Source organism: Homo sapiens, chromosome 1 (genome assembly GCF_000001405.40).
Source record: "Homo sapiens chromosome 1, GRCh38.p14 Primary Assembly".
In the NCBI taxonomy this organism is placed as follows: domain Eukaryota; kingdom Metazoa; phylum Chordata; class Mammalia; order Primates; family Hominidae; genus Homo; species Homo sapiens.
In genome coordinates, this window is record NC_000001.11 from 154494795 (window position 1) to 154507704 (window position 12910).

The window sequence follows — 12910 nt, forward strand, 5'->3', positions numbered from 1 at the left end:
CAATCCCAGCACTTTGGGACGCCAAGGCAGGAGGATGACTTGAGGCCAGGAGTTCGAGACCAGTCTGACCAACATGGTGAAACCCCGTCTCTACTAAAAATACGAAAATTAGCCAGGTGTGGTGGCAGGTGCCTGTAATCCCAGTTACTTGGGAGGCTGAGGCAGGAGAATCACTTGAACCTGGGAGGTAGAGATTGCAGTGAGCTGAGATTGCACCACTGCACTCCAGCCTGGGCGACACAGCGAGACTCCGTCTCAAAAAAACAAACAAACAAAACACTTTACAGGGTTGCTGCAAGATTTAGTGAGGTAATTTGGCCAGGCTGGTACCTAGTAAGCTCTCAATTTACAGCTGTATGACATCAACTGCAGAAAGAATCCTCATGCTAACTAGCCAATGGGAACTTTTAAAGACCTGTCCGATGCTAATGTTTCAAAGCGGTGGCTAAAACTCCTAATGCTAGATTATGTAGAATATTTCTGCCAAATATTTAGCTAAATATCTTAGCTAGAATATTTAGTTAAAATGTTCCTGTGAATTTAGCAGAAAAGCAACAGAGGTTTATATTAATATTGCCTTGTATTCAGTCATATCTTTTTATGAACAATCCTTTGGATAAATCTCAGTGATAATTTACTCATAAACTCATAAATTCTTAACTTTTAAAAGTTAAGAGCAAAGTTTTGGGGGGACCCAGGCTTCCTGGGTCCCATAGCGATTTGGCCACAGGAAAGCCATGGGCTTCTCTCAGTTTCCTCTGCCCCTGAGGTAGATGCTGGCTCCTATTCTCAACTTCATGGCACTTATCATGCTTTTCAATGACTTATCTTCTTTGCTGGTAGGTCTGTTTCCCCCTTAGGCTGTGAGGTCCAAGGGCAGAAATCATGTGGGTCTTGTTTCCTGTATGCCCAGAGCTCAGGACAGGGCCTAGTACATAATAAAAAAAAAAACCTCAAGAAATATTTGTTGGGTATTCTAAAACAACATATGGGCAGTATTCTACACGCCCAAGATATTGTTAAAACCAGGCCTGTAATTCCCATTTCACCGGTAGAAAAAAGGCAATGCAAAGAATGGCAACACAGATTTAACCACTCCACAGTTCAACTGTGTTCATTAAAATCCTTTCCATCTTCAGAAATGCTGAAACAAGTAAAAAAAACTCTCATTTCTCAAGAAAGACGGGAAATTTCCGAACTTGGACTTGACAATCAGGTACACAAGGAGCAAACTGAATAAAAAAGTAAAAGGTTTAAAAAACAAAAAACAAAAGCCCAGCAGCAAATCTTTTATTTCTAGCTTCCGATAAACTCACTTCCTGTTATTCTGTCCAGCTTGTAACCTACGGGTAGAATAAGAGGTAGAGTCTCTACACTGATTGAGAAGGTGCTTTGTGATATATATTCTAAATGAAGAAACTTTAAAATCCACGAGTACAACTTTTTTAAAGTTAAGACCAAAGTATACTTAGATCACTAGTTTAGAAAGTTAGTAATTTGGATTTTTAATAAATTTGAATTTATTTGCCAACTGAATATATTAATTTTGTATTCCTAAATGAATTTATTTTCAGAAATTGTTTAAAACAGAGCATGGAACTTAATACACACTCAAATATTAAATGCTAGCGATTATTATTACATTTATTCCATGTTGGACAATTCTGACTTCTGAAGACAACATTCTTGGTTGAGTGGAAAGGTGCCTCACTTACGGGTGAAGTTTACAGTGGTTTTGCAAACGGCATTTCAAGTGTGTCCTGAACGCCATGTGGTGTCAGGGGCAGACCACTCAATGTGGAGTGGGAGATCCGGGTGCTAATTCCTGCTCTGTCTCTTAAAATGTCTCCTTAACACAGGCAAGCCCCAATCCCTTTGATCTTGTTTTTTGTCACCCTGTCACAAGGGGGACAGCATTGTAGTCCCCTAGCTTATAGAGCTCTTGTGGGAATTACATGAAAAAAAAAACAAAAAAACCCCCCAAAATTATATTCATTTTTATAAAATCACAGCACATTTCCTCTTATCAGTGCAGCTCTCCAAATAAACAGATGTATGGTATAAACTACCTACTTCAGTTAAAGAGAAAGATAAGAATAAAAACCCAAGGACAAAGAAAGGTGAATCACAATTAAGCATAAAACTTTTTTTTTTAAGAAAATCCTTTTCCTCAATTTTATGTAAAAGTAAATTCTTTTCCCTATTCCTTTCAAGGCTCTGATGTTTTTTAAAACTCTGACAGTTCATTTTCACTTCCTTTCATTCACAGATTTCATTAGGGGTCACAGTCCAGTGACCTTCAGGGTCACAGCCTGGCCAGGGTACACCCTCCCCACACGGAGGGCCTTATCTCTGTAAGCAGAGAAGCAGGAAGCGGAGCCAGGCTTTCCTGTTCCAGCTCGTTTTCATTCTGAAGACTGTCTTGGCCCTTCCAGTGTGCTGCTGCTACTCTCTGCTCAACTCTTCTGAGACTATACTTAGAGAACCTGAGCTTGACAGCTCTTCAATCTGTTCTAAACAGAAGAGACAAAGTCTTTCATGTGGGACCAGTTACTCTTCCCAGGCATGAAACCCACAAGAGTCAAATAAGGCTCCCTTGAGTCAGCATTCAGCAATTACATTTCTCATTATGGATGGAAGACTGTTTAAGGAAAACTAGGTGAAGACATAAAGTTCACAAATAAATCTATATTATTTTTATTTAAGTATCATTTACATCAACTTAAGAGAATTATGACTAAAAGGGAAAAGTTTGACACTAAGAATGACAGAGTGACTGCTTAGCTCACAAACTGGAATTGTTCTGACTTGAAAAGTTACAAGATTAGTCTTTGGTTTTAGGTGGTTGCCTTGAATGGCTTGGTTTACACAGCAATGATTTTTTTTTCTTTTCTTTTTTTTTTGAGACAGAGTTTCCCTCTTGTTGGCCAGGCTGGAGTGCAATGGCACGATCTTGGCTCACCACAACCTCTGCCTCCCGAGTTCAAGTGATTCTCCTGCCTCAGCCTCCTGAGCATCTGGAATTACAGGCATGCACCACCATGCCCGGCTAATTTTTTATATTTTTAGTAGAGACAGGGGTTTCTCCACGTTGGTCAGGCTGATCTCGAACTCCCGACCTCAGGTGATCGGCCCACCTCGGCCTCTCAAAGTGCTGGGATTACAGGTGTGAGCCACCACACCCAGCCAGCAGTAATTTATAATTACTGCTTAGTAATTAAATTCTTGGCTCCAATATTGTAGAACTTGTTGAGAAAGTCTTCTACTACAAAATACAGAATCACATCATGTTTGCAGTTTTTGTTTGTTTTTTTTGAGACGGAGTTCCACTCTTGTTGCCCAGGCTGGAGTGCAATGGCTCAATCTTGGCTCACTGCAACCTCTGCCTCCCAGGTTCAAGCAATTCTCCTACCTCAGCCTCCCAAGTAGCTGGGATTACAGGCATGCGCCACCATGCCTGGCTAATTTTGTATTTTTTTTTAGTAGAGACAGGGTTTCTCCATGTTGGTCAGGCTGGTCTTGAACTCCTGACCTCAGGTGATCCGCCCACCTTGACCTCCCAAAGTGCTGGGATTATAGGCGTGAGCCACTGCGCCTGGCCTTTTTTTTTTTTTCCTTTTTGAGACAGGGTCTTGCTTTGCTGCCCAGGCTGGAGTGCAGTGGCGCAATCTTGGCTTGTTGCAACCTCCTCCTCCCTAGTTCAAGTGATTCTCGTGCCTCAGCTTCCCAAATAGCTGGGATTACAGGTGTGCACCACCACACCCGGCTAATTTTTGTATTTTTAGTAGAGATGGGGTTTCACTATGTTGGCCAGGCTGGTCTCAAACTCCTGGCCTCATATGATCTGCCCGCCTCTCTCCCAAAGTGCTGGGATTATAGGCACGAGCCACTGCACCTGGCCATCCTTGCATTTTTTAATAGATTAAAATCCCTTAAGTATGTATTTGCTTCTTGGTAAGATGTATGACTCCCATTATGAATGTTAAAGCTTCTGAAAGTGGCCCCAAAATGTATATAATCATGTTAAAACTGAACATCATATTCTGAGCAGATCTGCACTCATAAATGTCATCTTGCATAGAACTAGAAAAACTTTGAAGACTCCTGTAAATTCTAAAACTCTGAAGGATACTAAATCATACAGGAAGTTACCTAAATAGTCCGACATTAGTTTGGGGTCTAATTTCTGTTTCTTCAAGTCAGCAGGATCTGGGTAAATTGCTTTATCCCTCTTCCCCAATAGACACCGGTTACTATATTACAACACTCACTGAGTGTGAGATTTCAGTCTCTATTCTGTAGAGCCTGCTTACAAACCTGTTATCATTTGCTGTGCATCATATGGTTCCATGTAACCGTCGTTCTCTCCGACTCTCTCTGCATCCCTTTGACCCTTTGTCCGTTTGGCATCATAAGGGTCAGCATAGTCTTCTAAAATGATGACCTGAAAAAGAACAAGAGAGGACAGTTGCTAAGGGCCACCGTATACCAAAATGGCAATGGTATCAAAATGGCTACTGACATCTCCTGCATATCCAAGGAGGTCAAAATCTCTATAACCAGTTCCAGATAGCTTTTGCACTTGATCATGTGTCCCAGTTAGACAAACACCTGTTTTTTTTGGTTGTACAGTTGATTTGCAACAATTCATCTAACTCTTTCACTTATCCCCAAGGCTCTTTATACCTCCCTTTATTTCTCCAAGCAATAAAACATTTTCTGGGTTAGAGGGTGGCAGGGGTGGATGTGGGGAGTGAAGGCTACCTGTGGCTTTAGAGCATAAAGGGTATGTGGCTTTACCACATACCCTTTATGAATTGAGTTTTTTAAACTCCAATCAGCTGAGCAGTACAGTCATAATGAGTCAGTCAGTCATCCACCAGCACTGGCTAGGCACTGTGAAGGAGTCAAAATAAACCCAAGACATGCTTCCTGTCCTCAAGGAGTGGATCACAGCTCCAAAGACACAGGCTTCATAGATGAGAAGTAGGTCAGTACTAAACAGTATTGTAGGTGTTCTACGTTCAATAATTCACAGGCAAACTGACTGTCACAGGCTACAGACCAGATAGGGTTTTGATCCCTATCTGGGATCCCCTATTTTGTGTCAGAAAGCATCCATCTTTCCAAAAATAGAAGGCACCTGAGGAGGTGGTGTGTGACAACATGGGTGACAACACCAGAGGGTAGGGGACCCTTCTCAGGAAGGAAGCTCCAGGCCTTGCTCCACAACCTCTGTTACATTCTCCAAAGAGTTTAGAAGTAACACTGGAGTTGGTGAGAATTCAGATACATGAGGAGAAGCGAAGAGGAGGAAACAGCCTGGAAATAGCCTCAGAAACCTCAGACACCCAGAAGTGACAACCATAAAAATAACCAGACAACCACTGCAAGGGACTGTGACTGCGACTGCCATTCACTTAATCCATTTTTCTTGACTACCCACCATGTGTACCGCATTTGCAAGATACAGTGAGCCCTTGGCTTCAAGGTGCTTGTGATCTAGTCACACAGTCAGGTGGACCACTGAATAACATATGAGCTGGGTCCCCGTCCATCTTTACACAGCTCTCCACTCAGTGCCTGGCTCAGGGTGGGCATGCTGTATTTACAGCATGAAAAAATGAATGGAAGAATGAACAGAAGTGCCCAATGCAGACATACACAGCATGTGTTATGGGCTCTTGACTTCAACCAGGGAGGTAGCATGTTTGAAGCCTGGGCAAGAGAAAATTAAAGCTCCCATGCATGTTAGGAAGTGATTGCCTGGACCGGAGTCTGAAATCTCGATTTGAGCTCTTCTCTCTCCCCCTTTCACATCGGAGAGAAGATAAAAACAACCAGATCGGACCAACTCATCTCAGCAAGAATGGAGGGAGTCCCTTCCTATGTTCACACTCCTTTTCTTAACTTTTCCACATTGGACAGCACCCAGAAAACCTCCAGTGTGTCCGTCGCAGGAAACACCCTCTCTTCTCATCTGTAATTTCCTTGAGAGCATTTCCTTGTCATATTCTGTATCCTCCACAGCCCTTAATGCCCTGTGCTCCTTTCCTCATATGGCTGCTGCGCAACAAATGCCCATGGAATGAATGAAAGGGCAGCAGTCTTGGAGATTTGCTGAACCTCCGAGGAGCCCTTTACTCGGTGGAACCGCAGAAAATGATGGAACTTCCAAATCAGTGGAGAAGACTGTTGGTTAAACCATTTCCTGAAGCTTTGAAATGCATATCTACACACTTGAGAGGTTACCATTCCTTATGCTCAAGAAGCATAAAAGTCATACACAAGCCTAGCTTTGCAATTCCCCTGAATATCAAAATTAAAATGAACCACATCTATAAAGGGGTCAAATGTAACCAAACAGGAATATCTCATTCAACGACTCTTCTAAACTGCTAACAAAATTCAATGGCTAGTACATTTCTGCAAAACTCCCCACCTCTAAAATAAGAGTTTTTCAAGAATTAAAAAACAGTCTAAGAATTTTAAATGGTCAGGAATTCCCAAATGGTGGAGGGAGAAAGGACCTTAGGAAACCTATCCTCACTGCCTCTTAGGTCTAAAGAAGCCTAGGGCTTAGCAGGCGCCCAGGGCTCCCCTTCGACTGAGAGGTGGTCCAAGGGAGGCTGTATTCTTACCGTCTCTTGCTGCTTAATAATCTTGCCCTTGTCCAGCTCGGGCCCCAGGGAGGAAGGGGAAGAGGACGCGGAGGAAGAGGAGCTGGAGCTGGAGCTACTGCTGCTGGGGTAGTTGCTCTTCCCGTTCTTCTCCTGAGTGTCCACCTTGATGAGCCTGTTGATGTAGGTGCTGCAGCCCGAGCTCTTGGTTGCACCCCGGTGGGGCTCCTCCTCCGTGGCCCGGGAGTTTTTGCGGCCCTTGCCCGCGGCGGCCTGAATCAGACCCTGCAGGCTGTCGCGGGACAGCCGGCTGTCCTTGGGGCCGACGCCGGCCCTGCCGCTCCCCAGCTCGGCCGCCGAGTTCTTGCGGCCCTTGCCAGGACCCGGCCCAGCGCCGCCCGCCTCCGAGTTCTTGCGCAATTTGCCGCCGCCGCCCCCGGGCTTGGCCCGCTCCGACACGGTCTTCAGGTTCAGGGGGAACTCCTTGAACCACTTGGCCGCCATGAGGGGGCCCCGGCCGGCTCGGCCCAGGAGCGTCGGGGCCGTGGAGCAGGCGAGCGAGGAAGCCCAGCCCAGACACGCAGAGGCGCCAGGGGTCGGGGACCACTGCATTCCCCGTGACTGGGGCGCTGGAGGCCGCGGCGAGGCCCCGCGACGGCTGCTCCGTGCGCCCCCGGCCGGCCGTCGCCCACGCCCGGCAGGGTGGGGTTCTCACGGCTCGGGGCGCCGAGCGGGCGGGCGCTAGCCTCTGCTCCGGACACGGCAGGCGACAGGCACGACGCGCGGGGGGCCCCGCCCGGGCTCGTCTTCAACGCCTGCCCGGCCCGAGGACACCGTGGCTCTCGGAGGCGGCGGGCGCCGGGGGCTTCCCCCTGCTCTTTCCTCCTGCGGTGGGAGAGGCCAGGCCCACGGAAGCCCCCTGCGGCCCAGCCCACGCTCCCAGGGACCAGAGAGGACCGAGCGGAGGCGGCGGGAGTATCCCCGGCGCAGCGACAGACGGTGGACGGACGGCGAGCGGCCCATCAACTCCGCGCGCCCCTCCCCTCCGCGGCTGGCGCCTCCCAGCCCCGCCACCTCCTGCCCAGAGCTGGGGGCGGCGGGGTGAGCGCCATGGCAGAGGCGGGTCGGGCTGCGAGCTCTGGAGAAAGGGGCGGCGGCCGCACGTGCGGATCGGCCGCGCCCCACTGAGCAGAGAGCCCCCTTCTGCCGCCGACAGCCCGCGTCTGCACCGAGCCGGTCTCGGCCGGGCGCTGCCTTCACACGCGCCCAGGAGTGTCACGTGCGCCGCTCACCCCCGGGAAGGAAGCCCCTCGCCCACCCACTCCGCTCTACTCCACTCTTTCTGCAGACGTTATTTTTGGCGGTAGGGCAGAGGTTGCGGCCCGAGGTCCGGGCGCAGGGACAACGGTCGCCAGCTCCTGCGCTAGTTCCGTTACTCTTCGGTGGCACACGGTCCTGGGCAGCGCGAGGCTCTTCCCGCCGTGGCCGCCGGGGATTGGCTGCCGGCAAGCCCCGCCCCGTGCCCCCGGGCTCAGAGGGGGCGGAGCGCGGAGGGAGAAGGCGCGAAGGCTGGGCGTCGCGATCGCAGGTGCACGCGCGTGGCCCGCGAGACGAGGTATGGCTTGTCGGCCCCAGGTCCCGGGATGCCAGGCGAGGGTTGGGAGGGAGGGGCGTCGGCAGGCAGCCATGGGAAACGCCCTCGTCCCGACTGATGGGGGAAAGGGGTCGCTGTTCCCGCGGGGCCGTCGCTCGCTCGCGCCGGTTGGGAGCGGCCCTCCTAGTCTGGATTTGTGCGGGCGGGGAGTGCCGTGTGCAGAACTGTGGCCACTTTAAGGGAAAAGACGCCTCTGCCATTCCTCCCTCCCTTCGAAGCCCTTTAAAAGCTTTCTGAGGCCGGGCGCGGTGGCTCACGACTGTAATCCCAGCACTTTGGGAGGCCGAGGCGGGCAGATCACCTGAGATCAAGAGTTCGAGACCAGCCTGGCCAACATGGTGAAACCTGGTCTCTACTAAAAATACAAAAATTAGCCGGGCGTGGTGGTGCGCGCCTATGGTTGCAGCTACTCAGGAGGCTGAGGCAGGAGAATCGCTTGAACCCGGGAGGCGCAGGTTGCAGTGAGCTGAGATCAAGTCACTGCACTCCAGCCTGGGCGACAGAGCGAGACTCCGTCTCAAAAAGACAAAAAACAAACAAACAAAAAAACACCTTTCTGGTTTAAAAAAAGAAATTTAAACTTAGTTTACTGAACGGAAATCTTTTGGTTTAGCAAACTAAATGTGCTGAAGGGGCTGACCAACACTGAGTCCTCATATACAATGGAAACAGAATGATGGCGACTGTGGACGGCCTCATTTGTGTGGGTGGTGGTTTGTGAGGTGGGAAAGCTAAAATGAAGAAATGCGTGCTCATACTGACGTTCTTGAAAATGCGTAGTGACATTTTTTTAAAGCTTTATTGAGATATAATTCACATACCATAAAATTCACCTGTTTTAAGTGTGCACCTCAAGTGTTTTCAGTATATTTGGTGTGTTTACAGTACAACCATCGCAACAATCTAATTTTAGAACATCTCCATCACCCCCAAAAGAAATCTCCCGTCAATTAGCAGTCACTCCTCATTTCCCTCTCCGCCTTCCCAGTCCTAGACAGCCACTAATCTACTTTCTGTCTATATAGATTTGTCTAGTCAGGACTTTTCAGAGAAGTGGAATCATGCAATATGTGGCCTTCTTTCCCTTAGCATCATTTTTCAGATTCATCCAGGTCGTATAGCATGTATTACTACTACATTCGTTTTATATTGCCAAATAATATTCTATTGTATTGCTATACAGCACTTTATTCATTCATCAGTTGATGGATATTTGGATTGTTTTCACTTTTTGGCTATTATAAGCAACACTGCTATGAATATTTGTGGAAAAGTCTTTGTGTGGACACATATTTGAATTTCTCTTGAATAGTTACCCAGGAGTGGACTTGCTGGGTCATATCGTAATTCCCTGTCTAACTTTTTGAGAGCCTGCCAAACTTTTCCAAAGTGGCTGCACCATTTTACATTCCTACCAGCAATATGAGGGCCCCTGTTTCTTCATGTCCTCAATACTTGTTAGAGATAGAGGATGTTGTCTGTATCTCTTGCTTTTAGCCACCCTGATTGATATGAAGTGTTATCTTTGTGGTTTTGATTTGCATTTTCCTAGTGGCCAAAGTTGCAGAGCATCTTTTCATGTGCTTATTGGCCATTTGTATATCTCCAGAGAAATGTCTAGCAGATCCTTTGCTCACTTTTTAATTGGTTTATTTGTTGTCTTTGTTGGTGAGTTGTAAGAGCTCCTTATGTATTCTTTAGGTCTTTTTAAAAACACAGATAAAGCCTGGCCAACATGGTGAAACCTCATCTCTACTAAAAACACAAAAATTAGCCATCGTGGTAGTGTGTGCCTGTAGTCCCAGCTATCTGGGAGGCTGAGGTGGGAGAATCGCTTGAATGTGGGAGGCAGAGGTTGCAGTGAGCCGAGATCGTACCATTGCACTCCAGCCTGGGCGACAGAGTGAGACCCTGTCTCAAAAACAAAAAACAACAACAACAAAAAACTACACAAATAGGTTACTTCTCCAGACCAAACAATAGATTGGAAGGAAACTCAGGACTTTGGAATCATGTGGTCATATGGTTTGGATTCACAACGAAAACAGGCTTCTCCCATTTGTGAGCATGGATGCTAAGTGATCTTGGCCAAATACTAGATTATCATCTCTGCATCTCCGGGACTTCATCTGTAAAACGGGTTAACAATGTCTCCCTCTTAGAGTTTGAGTGAGGATTAAATGAGAATGTGTGTTAGCTGCTTAGCATAGTACCTGGCAGGCCTTAAAGGCATCTTGCACGGATTTATGCTGGGCCTTGGCTTGGGAGGTCTCAGTGCCTGTTCTGTTTCAGAAGCCCATAGGCTTTTCCAGAGATTACCAGGAACTGGGACTAACATCCTGTATCTCTGATTTTGCCCATAAACCTCTCTCTCCATTTTTATCCATCCATACCTGTCTTTTAATTATCTGAACTACTTTTAGTTCTATTTAGAATTGGTTGTAGCTAAAATGGTTGTTCCCTCCTACACCTGGGAATAATTTAGAGAAAAGAGTTACTGTTTTATTTTAAAATTTAATGTTTTAATTTATGTTTTCCCTAAAGTACAGGAAAAAAAAATCCCTTTAAAATGACTTTGACGCCTTGTTATCTGTAGAAAGAGAACCAATGCTTTGGAATCACAGGACTGAGTTACCTCAGTGTCTTTTATAATTTTATAAAATCACCTGATATCCTTGAGCTTTGGTTTTCTCATCTGTAAAATGGGAAGATAATACTCACGGAATTGTAGAAAAGTGCCCATAAAATCCATAAAAATAAACACAATAGCTACCATTTATTGAGTTCTTGACACATGGCAAATACTTTAAGTGCGGTATCTCACTTCACTGCCATGATCTATGACATGGGTGTTTTGATTCTGACTTGACAGATGAAATTTTCCCAGGGTCTCTGGGCTGGACTTATAGATGCATCTAACTCCAAAAGTTCTGTTCTTTCCACAGGCCAGCCACTGTGCAGAGTGGTGTGTGGTTTTAAAGTTGCCCATGCTGTCTGTATTAGTTTTCGATTTGCTTTCATAACAAAATACTACAACCTTAGTGGGTTAAACAACGCAAATATTATCCCATAGCTCTGTAAGTCACAAGTCTGACACATGTCTCAGTGGGCTAAAATCAAGGTTTCAACAAGGCTGTGTTCATTCTGGAGGCTTTAGTTGGAGAATCCATTTCCCTGCCTTTTCCAGCTTCTAGAGGCTGCCAGCATTCCATGGCTTGCGGCCCCTTCCTCCATCTTCAAAGCTAACAACAGTAGTAGAGTCCTTCTTATATCACATCACTTTAACTTTGTTTCTGTTGTCACGTCTCTCTCTTTTTTTTTTTTTGAGATGTTGTCTCACTCTGTCGCCCAGGCTGGAGTGCAGTGGCCCAATCTCAGCTCACTGCAACCTCTGCCTCCCGAGTTCAAGCAATTCTCCTGCCTCAGCCTCCTGAGTAGCTGGGATTACAGGTGCCTGTCACCACACCCAGCTAATTTTTGTATTTTTGGTAGAGACAGGGTTTCACCATGTTGGCCAGGCTGGTCTCGAACTCCTGACCTCAGGTGATCCACCCGCCTCGGCCTCCCAAAGTGTTGGGGTTACAGGCGTGAGCCACAGTGCCAGGCCTGTTTTGTCAGTTGATGGGCAACCTTAACTCCATCTGCAACCTTGCCGTGAAATCTAATACATTCATAGGTTCTAGGGATTAGGATGTGGACCACTTTTGGTTGGGGAGGCATTATTCTGCTTACCACAGTACCTATTCGGTGGTTATATGATGGTGAACTATCCTGGCATTCCTCTAACTGTGGCCGGTTGGTTTTGTAGGAGATCCTGTTGGAAAGCAACTGCAGCATGTAAGTCCCTTCCTTTTGCTGATGAGCAAGCCTCGCTCCATCCCCCAGCCTTCTCTTTCTCCCATTCCTGTCTCACCATGCCCTGGTCTTAAGAGTCACCCCTGGCATCTCTTGCCAGTTGATCCTAACTCTAAGTATACTTTAACTTTTAGTGATTTAAAAGGTCCAGTGGAGGGCTTCCTGGCTTGGAACCTGATTCTGGGAGGAGGAAGGGAAGCCTTTGGTCAGGAAGGGGAATGGAGGTTTATGCAAGGCCCCTCTGCTTATGCCTGACACGTTTCCTTTTGTCGGAGTCTGAGCTTGGGAGGTTCGATGCTGACACCTGTGTTTGACAGGTCCTGGAACATTAGTCACCCCCAACTCTCTGATAAACTGTTTGGGAAGAATGGAGTGTTGGAGGAGCAGAAATCTCCAGGTAAGTTAGGCTGGGGGATTCGCTGGTGCTGGGACTCTCATCCTACAACTTGGATTCCAGTTAATGGTTCCCAGTCTGCCCAGTTTCTGTTCAATGTGAAACTTGGGATCTGCCTAGATTCTGCTCTTCCTCCAGTCAGCCACCATGTTTCCTGTCTCATAGTGGATGTGGCGCCTGCCACTGCTGCGATGCAGACCCTTACTCCCTGGTGCACCCGCTGCTCCTAACCCCGTGCTTCTGTTTCATTTGTGCCTTCTTCCAATTTTCCCTCTACCATCTCCAAAGTGATCTTTCTGAAACCCAGGTCTATTGACACCTCCCCAACCCGGTTACAGCCCTCACCCGTATCACCCAGCCAGTGGAATAAACTGTGACTGCTGTGGT

At 47.2% G+C, this 12910-nt stretch overlaps 2 protein-coding genes across 16 annotated transcripts in view; one reads left to right on the forward strand and one right to left on the reverse strand.

The window, feature by feature from the left end:
* Positions 1 to 7618, reverse strand: part of SHE (Src homology 2 domain containing E) — a 32776-nt gene extending 25158 nt beyond the window's left edge. For 4 of the 5 annotated variants that reach the window (NR_135169.2, XM_005244891.6, XM_011509163.4 and 1 more), the window contains exons 1-2: positions 6642 to 7618; positions 4318 to 4444 (exon numbers count right to left, since the gene is read on the reverse strand). Coding sequence is in view for 4 of the 5 variants with exons in the window: in XM_005244891.6 (XP_005244948.1) it covers positions 4318 to 4444; positions 6642 to 7232 (718 nt within the window). In the remaining variant the exon portion in view is untranslated. Of the gene's footprint in view, positions 1 to 214; positions 929 to 4317; positions 4445 to 6641 lie in introns of those variants that run through there. The other variant, XM_017000256.3, reaches the window with a different exon arrangement.
* TDRD10 (tudor domain containing 10) overlaps positions 7425 to 12910 on the forward strand; it is a 45929-nt gene continuing 40443 nt past the window's right edge. For 8 of the 11 annotated variants that reach the window (XR_007076385.1, XR_007076384.1, XM_011509152.3 and 5 more), the window contains exons 1-3: positions 7425 to 8235; positions 12083 to 12111; positions 12405 to 12526. Coding sequence is in view for 9 of the 11 variants with exons in the window: in XM_011509152.3 (XP_011507454.1) it covers positions 12424 to 12526 (103 nt within the window). In the remaining 2 variants the exon portion in view is untranslated. The remainder of the gene's footprint in view (positions 8236 to 12082; positions 12112 to 12404; positions 12527 to 12910) is intronic. The other 3 variants (XM_011509154.3, NM_001098475.2, NM_182499.4) reach the window with 1 other exon arrangement.